The 20,401-nt window shown below is 52.2% G+C and overlaps 1 protein-coding gene across 18 annotated transcripts in view, besides 7 other annotated features; it reads right to left on the bottom strand.

Annotated features, from left to right (window-relative positions):
- APBA2 (amyloid beta precursor protein binding family A member 2) overlaps positions 1-20,401 on the bottom strand; it is a 232,342-nt gene extending 211,941 nt beyond the window's left edge. For 16 of the 18 annotated variants that reach the window (NM_001353790.2, XM_047432424.1, XM_011521489.3 and 13 more), the window contains exon 1: positions 20,097-20,401. The gene's annotated coding sequence lies outside the window, so the exon portion shown is untranslated. Of the gene's footprint in view, positions 1-10,765; positions 10,856-20,096 lie in introns of those variants that run through there. The other 2 variants (NM_001379685.1, XM_047432412.1) reach the window with 2 other exon arrangements.
- Positions 2,161-2,660: an enhancer, noted in NCBI's record as "H3K4me1 hESC enhancer chr15:29148861-29149360 (GRCh37/hg19 assembly coordinates)". NCBI's record gives its function as "activates a minimal SCP1, AML or CMV promoter by ChIP-STARR-seq in primed H9 embryonic stem cells {active_cell/tissue: H9 hESC(primed)}" and the evidence as "EXISTENCE:reporter gene assay evidence [ECO:0000049][PMID:30033119]".
- Positions 2,661-3,162: an enhancer, noted in NCBI's record as "H3K4me1 hESC enhancer chr15:29148359-29148860 (GRCh37/hg19 assembly coordinates)". NCBI's record gives its function as "activates a minimal SCP1, AML or CMV promoter by ChIP-STARR-seq in primed H9 embryonic stem cells {active_cell/tissue: H9 hESC(primed)}" and the evidence as "EXISTENCE:reporter gene assay evidence [ECO:0000049][PMID:30033119]".
- Positions 3,697-4,248: an enhancer, noted in NCBI's record as "H3K4me1 hESC enhancer chr15:29147273-29147824 (GRCh37/hg19 assembly coordinates)". NCBI's record gives its function as "activates a minimal SCP1, AML or CMV promoter by ChIP-STARR-seq in primed H9 embryonic stem cells {active_cell/tissue: H9 hESC(primed)}" and the evidence as "EXISTENCE:reporter gene assay evidence [ECO:0000049][PMID:30033119]".
- Positions 4,249-4,800: an enhancer, noted in NCBI's record as "H3K4me1 hESC enhancer chr15:29146721-29147272 (GRCh37/hg19 assembly coordinates)". NCBI's record gives its function as "activates a minimal SCP1, AML or CMV promoter by ChIP-STARR-seq in primed H9 embryonic stem cells {active_cell/tissue: H9 hESC(primed)}" and the evidence as "EXISTENCE:reporter gene assay evidence [ECO:0000049][PMID:30033119]".
- Positions 5,353-5,906: an enhancer, noted in NCBI's record as "H3K4me1 hESC enhancer chr15:29145615-29146168 (GRCh37/hg19 assembly coordinates)". NCBI's record gives its function as "activates a minimal SCP1, AML or CMV promoter by ChIP-STARR-seq in naive H9 embryonic stem cells {active_cell/tissue: H9 hESC(naive)}" and the evidence as "EXISTENCE:reporter gene assay evidence [ECO:0000049][PMID:30033119]".
- Positions 6,665-6,856: a silencer, noted in NCBI's record as "fragment chr15:29144665-29144856 (GRCh37/hg19 assembly coordinates)". NCBI's record gives its function as "represses an EF-1alpha promoter that drives an FKBP-Casp9 reporter gene in an ReSE screen in HepG2 liver carcinoma cells {active_cell/tissue: HepG2}" and the evidence as "EXISTENCE:reporter gene assay evidence [ECO:0000049][PMID:32094911]".
- Positions 9,465-10,025: an enhancer, noted in NCBI's record as "OCT4-NANOG hESC enhancer chr15:29141496-29142056 (GRCh37/hg19 assembly coordinates)". NCBI's record gives its function as "activates a minimal SCP1, AML or CMV promoter by ChIP-STARR-seq in naive H9 embryonic stem cells {active_cell/tissue: H9 hESC(naive)}" and the evidence as "EXISTENCE:reporter gene assay evidence [ECO:0000049][PMID:30033119]".

The raw sequence follows: 20,401 nt of genomic DNA, 5'->3' as shown, positions 1-20,401 counted from the left end.
TGTGCAAGTGTCAGAGAGAATAATGCTGCTTCCAGCTTTATCCAAGTCCCTCCAAAGGACATGAACTCATTCTTTCTTATGGCTGCATAGTATTCCATGGTGTATATGTGCCACACTTTCTTTATCTAGTCTATCATACATTCTGCAGGTGTATTCCAGAACTTAAAGTAAATTTTTTTTAAAAAAGAATAATGCTGCTATGCACAACGGACAAGGGATCATGGCTAAGACACACGGCTGGGGGATCGAACTGCAAATCTTATTTACAATAGGATCTCATTTTGTTGAAAAATACTTTTAAAACATGTATTTGTGTAAAAGACAAGTAAAATATTTCCACAGACAGAAAAAAAAAATGGGAGGAGTCTCCACCAAATTGTGAATAATGATTATCCTTGTGGGCACTGAATGGGGCAGTGGTGAAACTTGGGGGGAAGCTTTCATTTTCTATTCTACATGATGCATTTCTGTAAAGTTCGAGCCCTTATAATTAGTACATTTTAATTTCATAATCAGAAAAAATATTTAAAGGATCTTAAAATCTAGCATGTTAGACGCCAGCCCCCATTGATGGAGCCAGGGTCCTTCTCAGCCCCAAATTCCACTGCCAGAAAAATGGCACCTTTCTCCTCCAGAGATACAAGATAATTGCTAGAAGACAGCATTTTTAAAACAGAGATATCAAGCCAGGTGCGGTGGCATGTACCTGTAGTCCCAGCTACTCAGGAGACTGAGGCGGGAGGATTGCCTGAGCCCAAGAGTTCAAGTCCAGCCTAGAGACAACATAGCAACACCTCCATCTCAAAATGCAAAACAAAAACTACAGATGGCAGATCTATTTAATGACTAGCTCTGGTGGGGAGTGCTGCCCCTCAGACCTTGACCTACCCAGGCAGCCTCTAGTTATTAAAGACTTCTCAGTATTGGAGAATGAAACAAAATAGACAAGCACTTTAAAATTCACCAGAAGTTCCCAAGGAATTTGCTTCCACGCATAGAAAATAGTCAAGTCCGTTCTTCCGAAAGCTTGCTTCAAAGTCCAATTGCGGGGAATTGATGTAGATGGTTCCATTTTAACTTCTTCAGCCAGAGGAAATCTAAAAATTCCTCCTTCCAGCTCAACAGAGCAAATCCACCTATTGCTTCTGCAAAAGGAGGACAAAGATCCTCCTGGGGCCGCAGAATTCAGCAGCTTTTCCTTGGATTCCTAGGGCAACCAACAGCTCCGGGACACCAGGCCAAGCTTCAAAAGGCAGCCTGCCAGCCATCAGACTCCCAGGCACCTGTGCAGTCCCAGGCGGTTGAGGAACTGGGGGAGGGCTTGGTTTCAACCTACTTGCCAGATCACCAGCAAAATAAGACATGTTCAAAAGAAACAACTGCACATAAGCCAGGGCTCTGGTCCCCAACCCATCAGGTCAGCGGCCCAGCCCCTCAGTGTGCTGGTGAGTGGGACAATCAGAAAAGGCCTCTCTCCCTGGAATAACTAACAGTCTCTCTCCAGCCCCACTCCCACTGCCTCGTGTGTCATGGGAAGTCTCTAAAATTCTCCACGGGCTTCCCCACACGTTCTTGATTTCCTCTCCAAACACCACCAGCCAGCCTAGGAAGCTGGGTCACAGGGAGTCTGCGTGCTGCAGACACTGAGGGGTGCTGCAACGCTGTTTGCTGGACACAGGGAGTCTGCGTGCTGCAGATAACGAGGGGAGCCACCAACACTGTTTGCTGGATGCTGCTCAATGGTGTACCATCAAATGGGTGGAAGGGAAGAGGGAAAAGGAAGGAAGAGGGGAGGGCAACCCCTCACTCTCACTGTCAGTGGGTAATAAAACCTTTCCAGATGTCAATCAAAAGCCTTAACATTTTGCCCAGCAATTCTACTCTTGTAAATTTATAGTAAGGGATCATGAATATCTGCCAATAAAAAACAAAAAACACAACTACAAGGATATTTATTACAGCATTCATTCATAGCAGAAAAACATTCTAAACAAATTTAATGTCCAACCCTGGGATCCAGCTCCAGAAAGGACAAACTCGTATGGCTGGGTGTGGAAGAAACCGTCCATGAGTGTGGAAAGTGCTCCTCATATACCGTCCAGGAGAAGGAATGCTGGGAGCCGGGGTGCCCAGGAACAGGGAGGAATCGTGGGCAAACAACAGGAGGGCCCCCGGCGGGTGGAGTCTGGTATCTCAAAGCTTCCTCCTTTCGCTTTCTGCTATCTCTGTTTTCCAATACAATGAATGAATTCATATGTGATAACTAAAAATAATGTTTTTTAAATAAAAGTGTTCTCTCTTGCCAAAAATCGCTGTAATGCTAAACTGCTGAGTTGAGGCATATGAAGTTGCCTATATTGGATCACTTTTTGACATACAGAAATAACAGTTTCATATGGTTCAACCTAATTTTGTCACAAAATCCGGATGAGTGGTAAGACCCGTAGGAATCACTTCCTCTGACTTGTCCTTGTCCCTCCTCAGGGACAAGTGAGGAGGCTGTGACTTGCCCAGGGCCCCGGCAGTGTAGGTCTTCCGCCTTCCAGAAGGGTCCTTCCCACCACTGGCCCACCACAGAGCACTGCCTGTCCCTCACCCAGCACCTCCCCTGTGCCAGGTCCTGGCTCTGTCATGACTCACATCATCTTGCAAAGTGGATGTCATTGCCAGCCGCAAGCTGGACTGTAGGGAGGCAGTGGGGTCCCAGGAAGGCCCCTCTGACTCTCCACTAAACCGCAGCTGTCCCTGCTGACTCCACAAGACCACGGGGTCCCCGCCCATTTACAGGACTGCAGCTCTGCCCTCCCTGGGCAATATTTCATTTCATCCTGGGCCTCCACCACAAATACAGGCGCTGACGCTTATGTAACTTGAAGCTGAAATGGCCATTTCAGTGGCCAGGGCTGTTTTTCTGTGTCCCCAGCAGGCCACCCTTTCTGCAGGAACAAAGTGGATCGACCAGCTACTCAGCTAGGCCATGGCCATAAATGCTCAGGTGCCAGCCCAGTTCATGAAGATGTTGGCTCTCTTTTGCCTCCTCACTGGACGGTCAACCGCACTTACAACAGCTTTGGTCACTATCGTCTATCGTGACCAATATCACCCCCCAAAAAAACATGGCCTCTGTCACTGACTATAAGTGAGCCCAGGGGCTGATCAGGGGATCAAGTATCACAGGACATATTCTTCTTTTCTAGTGAACATAAGATAAAGCCAGAGGCCAGGGACACTGCTGCCGGCATCATCAGACCCATGGAACCTGGCCGGCACCACAGAAAGTGAACTGGGCCACAGGACGTCAGCAAACCAGGCTTTGATGTTTTGTTTTCAAAATCTTCCAAGCTCAAGTCACTGGGCTTCTCTCTCTCCCAGGGATGGCCCCCAGCACCCAGGCAGGCTGCATCTGAGAAACCGGTCATTTTCAAGCACCCAGAAACTTGGGGCACTAAAACATACATATTCTAAATACTAACATGAGCTTACCCCCCAGTTTTCATGGGAACAGTAAAGAGGAACCGAAAAGGATGACAAAGGTGAGGGTCCTGAGACAGATGGGGGAACAGTGAGGTTTGGAGCCAAGGTCCCACCACCAGGGACATGGTGGAGGGACACAATCTGCCTTCCAACAATTAATAGACTTCATTTTTAGAACAGTTCTAGACTTACAGAAAAACTGAGCAGACTCCACAGAGTTCTCATATACCCACAGCCACCTTCCATGATTATTAACATCGCCATACATCAGCACAGCACATGAATCACAATTAATGAATCTCGATCCACCATTATTAACTACAGTCCATACTTCATTGGCATTTCCATAGCTTCTCCCTAGCGCCCTCTTTCTGCTCCGGGACCTCCTGCAGGACAGCACATCATGTTCAGCTGTCGCGTCTCCTCAGGCTCCCTCCACCTGAAAGGGGAAGAGGGCCCTCCTCTTGGCTGTGACAGCATCTCAGAGTGTCCTTAGTTTTGATGGACTTGATATTTTGAAGAGCATTGGCAAGGTATTTTGTAGAATGCCCCTCAACTGGAATTTGTCTGGAGTTTTCCTCATAATTACGTAGTGGTAACGGATTTGGGGGAGGACGGATACAGAAGGAAAGTGCCCTCCTCCCTCCACAGCACCCAGGGCATGTGCCACCCACATGACTTGCTGTTGGCGCCAACTGTGGCCCCCAGGCTGAGGCGGTGTGTGTTGGGTTTCTGCTTCCCCTTTCTGCACTGGGCTCTGTGGACAGAGGTCACTGTGTGCAGCCCACATTGGAGGAGCGAGGATGGAAATGCACCCCCCTTTACCTTCGGGTTTTTATGAGCCCCCATCTGTGATGCCTGCTTCACTCAGGCCTGAATCTTCCCTCCTGTTGCCATACCTCGCTGGAGCCCCATCTGGCCCTTTATTCTTCCCCTCCCCCACCCCAGACCCCCAACATACACACACACACACACACACACACACACACACATCAAAAGCTCCCCGAGGGCAGGGTCCAGGCTTCCCGATGCTGGTTTGTGTGTGTGCCAGAATCTGGCATGATGCCCTCGGCACTGCAAACACTGGAATGCTCACTCCTGAGACGTCCCTAACCCCGCAGGGTGGCCAGGCAGCAGTCCACAGGCCAACATGGGCAGGGAGAGTCTCTGGCCACAGTCCAGCTCCCACATCAATCATCCAGGGCAAAAACAGTCAGGGGTGTGGCCACGGCACAGGGAGATGAGAAGGGGCTGCATCCAGGACCACTCAACCCTCCCCCAGGTGCAATAAACAAAGCGCCACCCCCCAACCAAGAACATGGGAGATGCAGCTGGAAAGCATCCAGGGCACAGAGAAGTCATGCGTCTGTGCTTCTGAACCACACACAGCACCACATACTGAAAACCCACCCCAAATCCCAGCTGTGCTGAAGGCAAGGACAGGCCCATAGGAAGAGGGGCTTTCCATAGTGCAAATGCCAGCCAGGAGACCATAGAGAGAGCCTGGCCCAAGCCACAGGGCCCTGCCGTGCCACGCTGGCTCCCACTGGATCTGGGAGGGTGGGGCGGGGCTCAGACAACCCCAAACCCCAGAGCTGGGTGGGGGCTGGGGGTAGGGGCAGCACCACCAGGCCCACCCCTCAGACACCCTTTCAGATCCTCAGGCCACGGTGATGGCTGATGAAGCCACTGTGCTCCCCAAGCACCGGACAGAGCCAAGCGTGCCTGCAGTATGGCTGAAGACACAAAATCTTTCTGAGGTTCTAGAGTGACCGCATCACATGACACCAGCTTGCTTCACGCACATCCCTGGAAATGACCACCGGAACAGTGCTGGGCTTGGTACTCTAGTCTCTCTGACATGGGACGGGGTGTGGAGCTGTTGAAACCATTTGACCACTTTCCTGGAGCAGCTACCGAGTTCCAGGTGCTGTGCCAGGTGCTGGGATCCAGGGGTCAGCCCCAGCCAGGGGCAGGGCAGTGGGCCGCATGCATGTGGACAAGGGTAAGTTGTAAATATACAATTTACAATACATATTACAAGGAGGACCTGGGTGAAGGGGTGAGCAAATGAGTGAGTGCCTGCCTCTCTGCCAGGCAGCCAGTCAGCCACAGGACAGAGACACAAGAGAAGTCCCTGCAGGGTGAAGAGGCTGCAGATGGGACAGGACATCCTGACAGGGAAACAGGACACACAGGGGCGCCGCCCAGGCTAAAGGGCTCAAAACGCAGGGAAGCGGCCCCCGACAGCTTATCCTAACATTTGTAGAAGCAGCCACAGCAACAAAGGGCACAGCAAAAAAAATCACCACATTTACAAATGTCACCAAACACACCACAGTAGTAAAATGCCAAGGTGATGGGGAGAGTCTGTCGGGACAGCCCCCTTGGCTGGAAAGAAGATGACAAAGCCACAGGGAGGCTTCAGTTTGAGCAACTGTGATGTGTCACCAAGCATAAAGTGACCTGAGTGAGTGGCCAGGGCAGTAGATGCTGGTCTCTGTCATGTGGGACCCTCAGAGCCCGAGAGGGCACAAGCGACATTCCCTGAAGATCCACCCAATGCTGCCGTCACCACGACGCTGATGCACGGTGCCCAGCATTGGTGATTTGCACTGGGGAGAACAGCACCTGTCACCCATTCCCACACAGCCACACTGCCAGGCTGTTCAGGTCTGATGAGCCCGAAGAAGCCTGAGTCCAGGCGGAGGAGGCTGGGAAGAAGGGTTGGGAGGACCCACGGGGCGCAGGGTCAAGGTCTGGTGCAAACAAAGGCTCTGCTTCTGCCACCCGTGACCACGGCCCAGTCCCCCTGTCTGGGGCTCCAACTCCTCACCTAGAAAGGAACTGACACAACATTGAGGTCCTCTCCCCCAGGGGTCCCTCACCTCCTGCTCTCCGACCCTCCACTCCTGCCCTGCCTCCTCATCTCTCCCGACACACTCTCCCACACTTCACACCACTGTGTCGCAAAGCATCTTGGGGGAAAGACTGGTTTTTTCATAGTATATTACAGATCTGTACTTTTGCAAAATAAAATAAAACTAAATTACTACCTAAATGAATTTTTTTTAAAGACATTCCTCACTTTATTATCCGATCCAACACACAGAGGCGACCACGAAGGTCCCTACATGCTCATTCTGCATATCTACACCCTTTGCCCTGTGAATCGGAAACAGCCCGCAGATAGCACGCTTGCAGGAATGCCATGACCAGGCCTGCACGCGTGTCCAGTCCAAGGTCTCCCAGTGCCTCTGTGGGAGGCTGAGGAGGAAGTGAGCTCACATGCACAGATGAGCTGTGCAGAGCAAGGCCGGGCACACACGACGCCCTGAGCATACGGAAGCCTCCAACCGGCTGCAACGCAACACGGCTTCCACGAAGCCTCAGGTGAACCCACGCCATGGCTGTGCTCACTCAAGCACACTGTGGCCCATGAAGCTGAGTGGTTACGAGGTCAACAGTCGTCAGACAAAGAGTCTCTCTCCTCTGAAGTCAGCGACATGGCCCTATCCTGGTGGGCTCACAGCCAGAACAAGAGCTCTGGGGGCAACCCGGAAGGGGCAAAGTAGAGTCCAGAGGAATGAGAAGTTCACAGGTAGATGAGGCAGGGAAGGCAGGTGGGGAGAGACGTAGGCAAAGGAGATGGGGCGCCTCTGGGGACCTGAGGGGTTGGGCCCTTGCCTGGGGAGGCAGGTAGCCAGGTGGTGCCATAGAACCTCCACCCAGGACTTCTGGGCTGCGAGGACATGGGGCTGCCCCCGATGAGTTCTCCATGCGCCACATCTCCCCCCGACTGCTCTTCTTAAAGCTCTTTGGTTTCCCTCTCAACTGCAACCACATAACGTTTGATACTTAAACATTTGGTTACTTGTGTCTAGTTTTCTTTAAAAGCACAGCTTCTTTTATATGCAGAAATAAAAATACATTTCCTGCAGATAACTTATCCACACCAATTAAATCTATATACATCTTAGCGTCCTACTCGGGTTTACATACCCTGATCTCACTTAGAAAATATAGTGTGCATCTGAATATTTAGTAGCATTTGTTGTAATGGCAAAATCTAATTATCTCACATTAAGTATAATCTCAATTTTGATAGTATTGTTCTAGCAGTAGAAGAAGCCATGACTCATTCCATTCAAATTTCACCTTGAAAACTCCAAGATCATGAACTGCTCTGTTTTTATACTTTTTCTTGAAATATATACATACAGAAAAGTTCCATAGCATAAATGGAACCTTCCCATGCAAACCAAGATGGGGAAAGGGGACATCATCAGCACCTCCAAAAGCTGTGCTTCCCTCCCCCTGGGCCTCCTATCAGTACCATCTCCCGAAGGCAACCTGATTTCCACACATGACAGTTGTCTGTTGCCCTTCCTAGACACAGAATCATGCATTACACACTCTAGCATCTGGGGTTTTTTGCTCAACGTTACGTGGCAAGCCCCATCCACACAGCTGCCACATTTGCAGAGTGCTCATTCTCGGCCTGCCGTACAGTGTGCCCTGTGAGAAGACCCTCGGGGTACTGATCTATTCTGCTGCTGATGGCCATCTGGTTTCTTTGCACTTTGGCAGTTACCATCACGCTGCTATGGACACTTTTGTGTGTCTCTTGATGGCTGTATCCATTTCCAACGGTTGCTGTGACAAATGACCACAAAACTGGGTGGCTGAAAACACATTTCTTCTCTCGCAGTTCTGGAGGCTAGAAGTCTACATGCAGTTTCACTGGGCTGAAATCAAGCTGTTGGCAGGGCCACATTCCCTCCAGAGGCACCAGGGGAGAATCCTTTACCTGGCCCTGTCCAGTTTCTCCCAGCTGCCGGTGCTCCCTGAGCTGTGGCCGCATCACTCCAATTTCCGCCTCCTTGGTCACATCTCTCTCTGCCTCTCTCTTATACGATCCTTGAGGATGGCATTTAGGGCCCACCCAGATAATTCAAGACAATCTCTTCATTACAAAATCCTTAAACACATCTGCAAAACCACTACCACATAAAGTAACATTCACAGGTTTCAGGGATTAGAACCTGATGTCATTTGAAGGTCACTAATGCCCATATGCCCATTTCACTCCATTTCATTTGGATTGAGACTGCTGGTCATAGAGTATATGTAAGCTTGGCTTTAGTTAATTCTACAAAAAAGCTTCCCAAAGCAGTTGTACGAATGTCTACTCTGACCAACAATCAGAGGTCCATTTGTTCCACATCCTCACCGACACCTGCTATTTTCTGCTCTTTTTCTCTTTTTTTTTTTTTTTTTTTTGAGACGGAATCTCGCTCTGTTGCCCAGGCTGGAGTGCAGTGGTGCAATCTCGGCTCACTGCAACCTCCACCTCCCGGGTTCAGGTGATTCTCCCACCTCAACCTCCCGAGTAGCTGGGGTTATAGGCGCCCGCCACCATGCCCACCTAATTGTTTTGTATTTTCAGTAGAGAAAGGGTTTCACCATGTTGGTCATGTTGGTCTCAAACTCCTGGCCTCAGGTGATCCACCCGCCTCAGCTTCACAAAGTGCTGGGATTACAAGCATTGAGCCACTGCACCCAGCTTTTTCTGCTCTTTTGATGTTAGCCATTCTGGTGGGTGTGGAATGGTGTCCCATTTACAATTCATTTTGCATCTCCCTGATGACTAATGGAGTGGAGTACTTTTTCATCTCTTTAGTGGACGTGTGTGTGTGTGTGTGTGTGTGTGTGTGTCGTGTCTTTTGCCATTTTCCTACTGGGTGTTCTCTCATTTTCTTGTTGATTACATAGTGCATTATTTTAAGATGAGTCATTTGCTAAAATAGATTCCACTAAGACACTGGCAGATGGAGGCCTAGTTTCTGGTGTCAGGGCCGGAGATGTGAGGTCCAGTTGTGTCCAAGCAATCAGGTGACATGAATTCTGGACCTTGAACACCCGTAATGGACCCTAAGCCTATGCCAGCCTGGAAGGTTCCAATAAGGAACATGATTGAGAGTTTGGGGACCACTGTCAGGGACTGGATGGGTGGGACAAAAATCAGTCCCAAATTAATGTATTATAACTCCAGTTACTTCCTTGAAACTAAATCTAATTGTATTTAAAAGGGTGACCACTGGGAAGTAAACTCTATTTGGATTTCTACAAATATGGGTGGGTTTTATGGGACTTTTTGGGAGCAGCCACTGCTGACCCAGTCAGCACAATGATAGCCCATCTCCAGAATCAGGCACTGCCCCCACACCATGACAGGCGAGCCAGGCAGTGATCCCTGCTGTGAAACACAATGGATTAAATACACCAGAGTTTGGTTTCTCTACATCACAATAAAGAAAGAGGCCAGGCGCGGTGGCTCATGCCTGTAATCCCAGCACTTTGGGAGGCCGATGTGGGCGAATCATGAGGTCAGCAGATCAAGACCATCCTGGCTAACACGGTGAAACCCTGTCTCTACTAAAAATACAAAAAATTAGCCGGGGGTGGTGGCGGGCGCCTGTAGTCCCAGCTGCTGGGGAGGCTGAGGCAGGAGAATGGCGTGAACCCGGGAGGCGGAGCTTGCAGTGAGCTGAGATCGTGCCACTGCACTCCAGTCTGGGCGACAGAATGAGACTCTGTCTCAAAAGAGAAGAGAAGAGAAGAGAAGAAAGTGGGTTTGGGACATCAGTTGACGTGAACTACTAATATAATATTAGATATCTGATTAAAACCATCAAGATGACAGAAAGGTCTACTCACAGAGGTGCTCTCCACCCCCAACCCCCGCATCAAATAGAGCTCCCTCTCCTTCAAATCAGATATTTTTTTTGAGACAGGTTCTCACTGTCACCCAGGTTGGAGTAGAGTGACGCAGTCACAGCTCACTGCAGCCTCAACTTCCTGGGCTTAAGGGATCCTCCCACCTCAGCCTCCCGAGTAGCTAGGACCACACACGTGAGCCACCACATCCGACTAACTTTTCTATTTTTTTGTAGAGATGGGGTCTCCTTACGTTACCCAGGCTGGTCTCAAACTCCTGGGCTTAAGCGAGCCTCCCTCCTCGGCTTCCCAAAGTGCTGGGATTACCTCATGAACCACCATGCCCAGCCTTCAAATCAGAATTCTAAGGAGCCTAACAAGCAGCAGGCCTTTCCAGTTATGGCGCATGAAAGTAACAAAGGCAGCCTCAGCCAGCATCCAGCGCAGTCCCAGCAGACAGAGATAATGAGGTGGACATGGGCCTCATGGGAGGGAATACTGCCCCCCACCCCCATGCCATGCCAGTGAGAAAAACAGACTGACTGCAGCCCCAAAACATACAGCAACTTACCCACGAAACAGGAACCTCTGATGCCTGACATTATCAGGTAAGAGATATTTCTGGCCCAGCAGCCCCCAGAGGATGAACAGCTCCCTCCGCCTGAAAGGGGAAGAGGGTCCAAGCTGCAGGCGCCCTGGCACATCGAGGCCATGGACAGGAGGCACCCGAATGTCTCCCCAGAGTACCCCTGCTGCAGAGGCCTCTGGAGCCCATCATCCTGCGGCACTGCTGCTCCCGCTCTCTTTCCCAAGCCCTGTGCAGTCCCCTCTCCTGACGCAGGACCAGAAAGCTACTGGGAGCCCCGTAAGGACAGCCTGCGTGCCCAGCCAGGCTGAGGCCAGCCACCGGAGGCCAGCAGCAGGGAGGCCACACCTGCGCTGTCACCCACACCCCTGCACACTGGAGCTGCCTGGGGACCCAGGCCTCCCTGTGTGCCGAGGGTAAGTTGGCGGAGCTGCACAGGTTAAGGCTGGGTGAGCCAGTTAATAATGTGATGAACGGTTTGTCATGGATTTTGTCGTTCTTTTAGAAAAACAGGGGCAAGTTAATCTAGAAATCCTGTAAATCTCTAAAGGGTAAAATTAAACGTCCTCACTAGCAAGGCTGGGACTTGGCAGCAGCAGCCGCCTCCTACAGAACATAGGGAGCGGGCTCTGGAGCCCCCCAATGACGCAGGAGCTGCCTTGGCCAGACACCTGCCCCCGCCACCCTCCTGTGTTCTTACTGAGCCCCTCCCCACCCCATGCAGTGCATCTTCCACCAGCACCTCCCCGCACCCTCCCCTCGCCTCTAGATGCACCCCTGAACATGCCCCTAACGGCGTCCTTCTCCCACGCTCTGACCTGTCTGCTAGGGAAGCCAGCTGCAGAAATCACTCTCCTAGAGTTCGCTTGGTAAACTATGCGTTGTTATTGGCCCATCTGCTTCGCTCCCAACCCACAGCAAGGACTCTCTAGGGCCACCAAGCTCCTAATCGTCAGCAACTGCCCTCCAACCCCCATCTCCAGCTCTAACCTACACAAACCACATAGTCCCCCCTGTGCCCAGGGTGCCCCATTCCAGGCTGGCCCTTTGCCTGGAGGGCTCTTCTGGCCTGGGCTCTGAAGGGGTAAACCCACCCACTCTTATAGGATGGGGTCCATGATCCACCCCAACCTACCATGGGGCTCTCACATCTGCCAGACTGTGCCTCTCTAGGAGGGCCTTGGACCCAGAGCCAGAATGGGGCTCTGATGCCACTGCACATTCTCCAGCAGCCCCCTCCATGCCCTCCCTCCTGATCCCACCCAGCTCTAAACTGGGAACAAGAAAGCTGGAATACAGTAGCTGCTCAGAAAATACCTACTGAGTAGATGGGTGGATGGATGGACAGAGCTCCAGGCAAAGGGACTCGGGGGTAAGAAAAGTGAAGGGTACCTGCCCCCGGTTCTACCACTGCAGAGTCCTTGAGTGTCAAAGGACTGAGAGGTGAATGACAGGCAAGGTGAGACCTACCATGTTAGTGTCCCGCACCCCTTTGTTTCCACTATTAGATTAAGCCACCCTATGTGACAGATAAAAGGAGTAACACGTACGGAGTTAGACCAGGGTTGCCAAAGTGAGGGGTGGGAATGCTGCCAGTCCAGGGGTCCCCCACGGCAGCTCCCCAGACGAAGTCAAGGCAAGTTGGAGATGAGGCTGCCTCTAGGTGTATCAAATCAACTGAAGCAGCACCAGTCGTCAGTGCTGATTAAGCACAGGCACGCCTGTGATCAAGAAGAAAACCATTACTTAATAAAATGCAATTAATTTAGAAGCTGAAAACTGCGAAAGCCCAAGGGAGAGACATAATCAGGAGTTCTTGGTCTGGAGGGGCTTCTGCTCTCAAAGCTTCCAACCCAACACAGCACAAAGATGTCTTCCCCAACAACCGCACATCCAACCTGCAAAACGATGACACGCTCCTCTCCAAGTACCTGAACCTTAGGACTCAAAGGGTAGAGAAAGTTCACAGGCAGAATCTTCACAATACATGCACAAAAGAAAGGCACTTCTACTAGGAGCTGTGGGTCAGGAAAACCTCGACTTCACCCAATGCCATTCCCGAGACAATCAGCCATTAATGTGACCCACTCAGTCCTGCCTCAGGGGCTCAGAATCTAGCAGTCAGGCCAGATGGGAAGTGCAGGGACCTGCGGCCAAAATCGGTCCATTCATCACCCAGCTGACGGCTTTCACAAGTACTAGCCAGAATCAGTAAGAGGCTGGAGGTAGTGCCAGGTGTCTGAAACCCAGCAGGCAAGTTGGTAAAACACACACACACCCTAAACCTGGTGACTGCACTGACTGAGTGCTTTACTGTAGCAGAACAGTTGCACACATCTCATCTCCTCCATCCATAGTAACTCAGTGGCTGGTGAGGAATGGGACACAGATCTCCACGTGCCCTTCTCAGGATGAGTCAAGACAAACTCTGAGCAGTGACGCTCTACAGCTGGCTCACACGTGGAGGCAAAGCCTGGCTTCCCAGAGCTTCCAGTTCCTAACACATGCCTGGCCCCACTGCACCACACCCGTGACAGCTGCCACCAGCTCCGGATAATCCAGACAGATGCTAGAGCACATGGCTCACTTATTACAGCAAAAGACTGAGAAACAGAAACTATGTTTTATTTGCACAAGGCACACACTTGCTTCCAGAGAGACCTGAGAAATCCATCATCCCTAAATGCACGCATTCACTCAATTAGTGGTTTTCCTGTTTTTGCAACAATGGATTTTTCCAAGACAGTTGACAATTAAACCAACGGTGGGAAACCATAAACTGTACTTTACTAAATTAACAATGCATACAACAGTTCGGAGGAATTCATATTTACAGCTGCCCTGCTGGAGAGTCAATTCCAGGAATGTAAAACCAACCAAATAAAAAAAATTTTATATATATATACACATACATACACACATATATACGTACACATACACACACACACACACACATATACACACAGTTATGCATCGCTTAATGGCAGGGATGTGTTCTGAGAAATTTGTCATTAGGCAATTTCATCATTGTGCAAACATCATAGAGCATACTTTATACAAACCTACTCCACACCTTGGCTATAGGTTACAGGCCATTGCTCCCAGGCTACACACCTGGGCAGCATGTTACCACGCTGAATACTGTGGGCAACTGTAACACAAGTATCTATCTAAACATAGAAAAGGCACAGTAAAAATATGGTATAAAAGATAAAACATGGGCCAGGCGTGGTGGCTCACGCCTGTAATCCCAGCACCTTGGGAGGCCGAGGTGGGCGGATCATGAGGTCAGGAGGTCGAGACCATCTTGGCTAACACAGTGAAACCCCGTCTCTACTAAAAATCCAAAAAAATTAACCAGGCGTGGTGGCAGGTGCCTGTAGTCCCAGCTACTCGGTAGGCTGAGGCAGGAGAATGGCATGAACCCGTGAGGCAGAGCTTGCCGTGAGCTGAGATTGAGCCACTGCACTCCAGCCTGGGTGACAGGGCGAGACTCCGTCTCAAAAAAACATATATATATATTATATATAACACAGTACCCCATCTAGGACACTAACCATGAATGGAGCTTGCAAGACTGGAAATTTCTCTGGGTGAGTCCATCTGTACACTAGCGTAGACTTTATAAATATTGTACACTTAGGCTACATTAAATTTTTTTAAAAAATAAAGTAACTGCACTACAACTTTACGACAATGTCACTAAGCAATAGGAATTTTTCAGCTCCATAATAATCTTATGGGACCTCTGTCATATATGCTATCATTCCCCAAAACACTGTCATGTGACGCATGACTGTACACATATATCTCAACTGAAAATGCCAAATGTCAATAGTGTTCTCCGACTCACTATTTACTAATGAGAGTTTCCTCAGAACTGTCCTTGCCTGAGAGTTTCAGAACCAAGCATCTCTCTGCGCAGTTGATTCTAGGGACAACAAGTGCTAAGAATCCATGTTGGCTTCAAGTGCAAAACGGAAAACACCTTCATGTCCCACCAACCATGTCAGCCACCTTCCTGGAGGGCAAGCTCCCAGACCCTCTCCCCATCCCTGTGAAGGGCCCATGTCATCTGTGGCATTTCCATGACTCTCTGATGCCAGCCATCAGTCTCTCGGCACGTGTTGAAAATTAGCCTCTGTACTTGCCCACCAGTGGTCACGAGTCCTAGTCATGCCCACCCCGTGAAAAACAAATCTGATACAAAATGGGCCCCAGCAGGAGACAGGGAGAAAACATGGGCCTCACACTCTCTCCAGCTCAGGCTCAAAGGCCAGCACTGCCCCGTCACAGCAGAGTGTTCTTAGGCAACCCACAGCTCAGCTACCTGTCCCCAGCCTCCTTGTTGCAAAGTTAAGACAAGACGTGCCTTCCAGATTTGTCGGGAAATTATTTAAAATGACAAACAAAGAAGGATGAAACTCAACACACAGAATTGCCCAATGATGTGCATTTCATTCCAGTGGTTTCGCCATCAAAACCATCTTCAAATGTTGGAGTGTTTCCGTTTCCAGAAAACTAGAGATGAAAATATTTTCAGTCACTCAATGCAGGAAGTTCAACCACATATTTTTTTTCTCTTAACTTTGATCCTTGAAACACAAAACAACAGACATAGCACCTTATATTAAAACAGCCCCTTAGAGTTTATGACGTGCCTCCTCTGCATTCTCTCACTAGGCCGTAGCTGTAACTCACAAACCTGACCCTTAAAACTCTCAGGACAGTAAGAGAAGCCACACAGGCCCAAGGCTACGTGGCCACACCAAATGACTTGCTGTCATAAAATATCTTGCATCAGTTAAATATTGCATCTCATTTGTGCCTCAAAACAACCGCAGGCAAGAGGCCTCGTGCGTGTATTGCAGATGCTGAGAAAGACTCTCAAGCCAGGTGACTGGCCCTGGGCCCCAGGGATTAGTGGCAGGGCCAGGCTGGAACTGAGCTCCTGTTACTCCAAATCCCATCCTCTTTTCCAACCTCCCAGTCCCTTTCTCATAAAACTAAAGCATCTCCTCCAACTAGGCCAGGACACAGGCAAGAGACAGTCAGGCAGGCGGAGGCTTCTGGAAGGTAAAGCAGAGTGGCTGGGAGCCCTGGGACAGAGTCTGACATTACATACAAGACAAGTTTGGAAAGATCCAGATGGAGTGGGAAGGGAATCTGGGCGTGGGGGTGCCTCCTTCCAAAGTGCATCCACATCCGAGGTGACTGCAGGGAGACACAGAGCTGACTTTGGCAGCAGGGACCGCCTGGGTGCAGAGAACCCAAACAACTGAAAATCCAAAAAGGAATCTTAGTGCAGAATCAGAAAGCTCACTCTTTGGGCTGCTTACCTTCCCAAACACATTCTCCTCTGGCCTATGTGAAACTGACGTTGCACTGTACAATTCTACAGCTCTTTCCTGACTGCCCACTGAGTGAGGGTCTGTGCTACATGCCAGGAGGATCCAAATGTGAACACAGCTAGGTTCCAGCTCTGGGACGCGGGAAAAGGAGGCACAGGGAGCAGGACATGTGCTGCAAGGAGACTACTGCTCCCGTGTTTCGTTCACTCACTCATCCAACAACAGCGCTAAGGCTCTGCTGTGTGCCAGGCACTTTTCTAGCTACTGGGGATCCAGAGGTGAACAAAGTCTTTTACAATTGAGTGGTAAGAGACTGACAATAAACAAACAAGTAAATAAATAACACACTGAATGGTGAGTACTAAGGAGAAACACAAAGCAAGGTTAACAAGAGAAACACAAAGCAAGGTTAACAAAGCCAATTTATGTAGGGCTTTCAGGGAGTGGGCAATAAGTGAGGGGCCAGCCATGTGAGCATCTGGGGGTGGCTCATGCCAAGGGGGTGGGAACAGCAGGTGCAAAGGCCCTGAGGCAAGAGTGGCCTGACAAATCTGAGGACCAAGGAATAAGAGGGAAAGAGCCCACATTCAGTTGGGATCTCCAGGATGGACATGCGCCAAGATGACAGGTGGGGATGGGGTGGGGACAACCCAGGGCAGATCTGGGCAGTAAGCCTGTCTGCCTGGAGCCAGGGCAGCCTGGAGGGGCCATTCTTGGGAGCAAGTGGGGGAACTTGAGAAAATCCAGCCGAGTAACGTGGATGTGGAGGGAGCACTGGAAAGCCACTGAAGGCCTGGGCAATGGTGACACACCTGGCCTGGGCCAACTTGCAGAGTCAGGAGTACCCCACAGCCCCCAACCTGGGAAACCTCACAGCCAGCACAGAAATCACAATGCACACAGCAGTGGCACCCCACCAGTACGTAGGGTTCCACAGAGTGAGCCTGGCTGCATGATCTTGAGGTCACCTACCTCCCAGGGCTCCCTTGTGTGTCTGGACAGGGAGAGAGGGGAAGATTGGCTTCAGGGGAGGCGAGAAAAGACGGTGCCCACGACAGCTGACTCAGCCTGTGCCAGCAGGCTGCTCTGAGACACGAGCTGGACCCAACCCAGGCGGTGGGCGGCAGGGGGTTGGGGAGGAACTCTGGGAAACGAAGGAGCCAGAGAAGCCTCCCTGTGGGCACTCGGGCCAACCACCACCCAAGGGAACAAAGAGCACCCCCAGCCCCCGCTGGGCACACAGGCTGCCTCCTGGTGAGCAACCCTCTCAAACTTCACCCCCAGCCCCCACCGGGCACACAGGCTGCCTCCTGGTGAGCAACCATCTCAAACTTGACCTACATCGGGGAGGCCTGCCTGGTGGTCAGTGGCTACCTTACATCCTACCTGTGCCTCCACGTTCCCAGTCCTCACAGCCACCTGGCAAGGGTGAGGAACTGAGACTGCATGGGGAGGGCACGCAGCCTGTGAGTGATACAGCCAGGACCGCCCGCCACCCAGGCCCAGAGCTCTCTCCACTCTCCCCATTCTCTAAGGACCAGGCTGCAAGGCAGGGCATGTGATCTCTGCCGAAGACATTCGAGCCACCCAGTGATGTGTGCTGGGTCTCGATCCCCACCGACCGCCAGTCCTCTCCTCCCCTGGACAGTAAAGGTTTCTCCACGACTTCGGACCATGGTGTCACCTGAGGCCCACACCTGTTGAGTCACCGGGGCAGGTATGCGTGGCAGAGGACAGCCAGGAGCGCCGGAGAGGAGCTGAGGCCTCGAGGGGGTCTCTGAAGCCAGGCTCAACCCCCACTCTCCCCACTCCAACAGCCCTCACCACAGCCACCGCCGCCCAATCCAAACAAAGCCCAGCCTGATGCCAACCTCACCATCAACTGTTTTTCCTCTGACTTCCTCAGTTTTGTCTAGGAAAAATCAAGGTGTCTTATCACCCCTCTCAGCTTCCAGGGGTGTGATCAGTGTCTTTTACAATTATCTCTTATTTTTATCCAGTATTTCTTAGCTCAGTTGGCAAACTAGGTATTTATGCACCTCCATTTCACAATCCATCCCCACCAATTATGCCTGTAAAACTAACATTTTGTTGAAAAAAAGAGGTTAGAACTACTTAAAAAGGTTTTGTAAACAAGTTAACTAGCAGGCCACAACTTGAGTCTAGGGTGTCAGAGAAAACATGCAAGGTGGAAGAGAATGAGGAGCTGACGGTCACCAGTTTCACCTCCTTCCAGCGCCCACCCAACTCTCCTGCTCACACACACTCACACCCCGTGGGACTCAGCCTGCAGCTCCTCCCATCCCAGGAGCCCAGGAGACCGGCAGTAGGGAGGGGCACAGACCACACTTCCTAATAAATAAGAGGGAAGACTCGGTGCCCCATCGCTAATGCCATCACCCAGTCCCAGCCCAGCCATGGAGCCCACTCCAAGGGCCCCCCTGACAGTGCTGCTAGAGCCCACCGAGGGAAGGCTGCCGGCACACAGCCACAAGCTCCAGCTTTACCCACTCACGCCCTGGACATTGCCTGGAGCCCCAGCGTTCCAGGTCCGTGTCACCCTGGCCCTCCTGCCTGGCAGATCCTAAGCTCAGGAGACCCTCTCCAGCCCAGGCTGCAGGGGGAAGCAGCCCCCACGGTCACCCAGGAATCAGCACAGAGGGCAGGGCATCCTGGACGCCCTGGACTGGGAAACCCAGATCCTGTCCCCTGCGTAGTGGCGACACACAGGAGAAACCCCTGCCTCACCTCATTGGAGGGACCCTGACCCAGAGGCCTGAGAAAAAGCCACCTGCAGGCTCCTGGCACCTGCCAACCTGCACCTTAGGAAAACTCGTCCCACTTCAACCTGCAAAGCTCTCGGGTCATTATTTCTAAAATCACTGTCCTTTCTCAAAGAGGAAGGAAAACAGAAAAATAAAACAAAAACAAAAACAGAAAGAGGCACAGGAGGTTGAAGAGGCCAGAGGCAGTTTAGCCCAAAAACAGTGCCAGACGCAAGATGCCGAGTTCGGGGTGCCTCACCCTCCACATGCCCATTTAGGAGCTGACTGCACTCAACCACAGATTTATGTCTGGTGCCTGCCAGGTCGTATCTGAATAGATCTGAAAAATTAAGCCTTCCTTCTGCCAGTAAATACGAAGTTAAGACTAGCAGGCCCCTCTAAGGCTCTGCTCTCCACGGCGGTCCTCGGCAGGCGTCGGAGAAAGGAAGTTCGCCCCCTCCCCGCCTGGGCACACCGAGGCCCGCTGCCCGGCCCATGGCGCCCTGCTTGGGGACCGGGGGCCTCGATGTTCTCCTTCACCATCTGCAGCCAGATCTCCCGCCAGCAGCCTTGCCAGGCAGTGCCTGCCATGGGGAAGGGGCCAGGCCGAGGGGCAGGTCCGCGCCGTGCCCCCAACCGGGCACCTGCAGCCCAGGAGCAACGGGGTGTGGGGTTTTGAATTGATAAGTTTTCCCCTCTGGGCCTTATTATAAAGGGAAAGGGAAGGGGGCGAAGATCTGGGCTTGGGTTCTCTGGGGGCAGCGAACCCAGAGGCGACCCCAAACTCAGTAGTTGCCGCCCGGCACGGGGACTTGATGCCGGTGCCAAGCAGCCCGGCCAGCCCGGCAGGAGTCGAGCGGACAGCCCCGCCACACAGCGCCTCTTGTCCGCGCCGGGTGGCCCCTTGCCGCGGTGCCCCCCGCGCGGGATGCGAGAGCCGCCGCCTGGTCCCCGCCCCGCCCGCCCACCCGTCGTGGGAGGGGGAAGCGGCCGGTCAGAGAGGAGTGGGGCCGCCGGGCTGTACCCCCATATCCCAGCGGCGGCCGCCCCGCAGCCACGCTGAGTCGGGAGGGCAGCGCTCTGGAGCGCTCGGGCCGCAACCTCCGCGCCGCCCCCCACGCGTCCGGGTCCTCGCGGCGCCCCGGGCGGCCCCAGGCTGCCGCCGCCGGCAAGTCAGGCAGCCCAGGTTCCCCAGCTTACCTGGCCAGGGCGCTGGGCTGCCCGGGTACGCCGCCGTCCCCGCCCCGCTGCCGCCGGCTCAGTCCGCGAGGCCGAGCTCTTTGTGAGCCCGCGCCGAGCCGCACACCGCGACTGCTAATGAGCCCGGGAAGCTGAATAGCTTCCCGAATAGCGGCGGGCGCGCCCCGGACGCAGCGTACGGCACGCAGGGCCGCCTCTGCCGGGCGCACGCGGCGCGGCTGCGGGGCGCATCCCGCACCGGCCTGCGGCTGCCGGGCCTGCGCCCCCGCCCCGGCCGCTTCCGCCTCACCCGCGCCGGGCACACT

The sequence above is a fragment of the Homo sapiens genome, chromosome 15 (genome assembly GCF_000001405.40).
Source record: "Homo sapiens chromosome 15, GRCh38.p14 Primary Assembly".
NCBI lineage: Eukaryota > Metazoa > Chordata > Mammalia > Primates > Hominidae > Homo > Homo sapiens.
The sequence above is the reverse complement of the archived record's forward strand: the minus strand, read 5'-3'. Positions and strand labels throughout refer to the sequence as shown.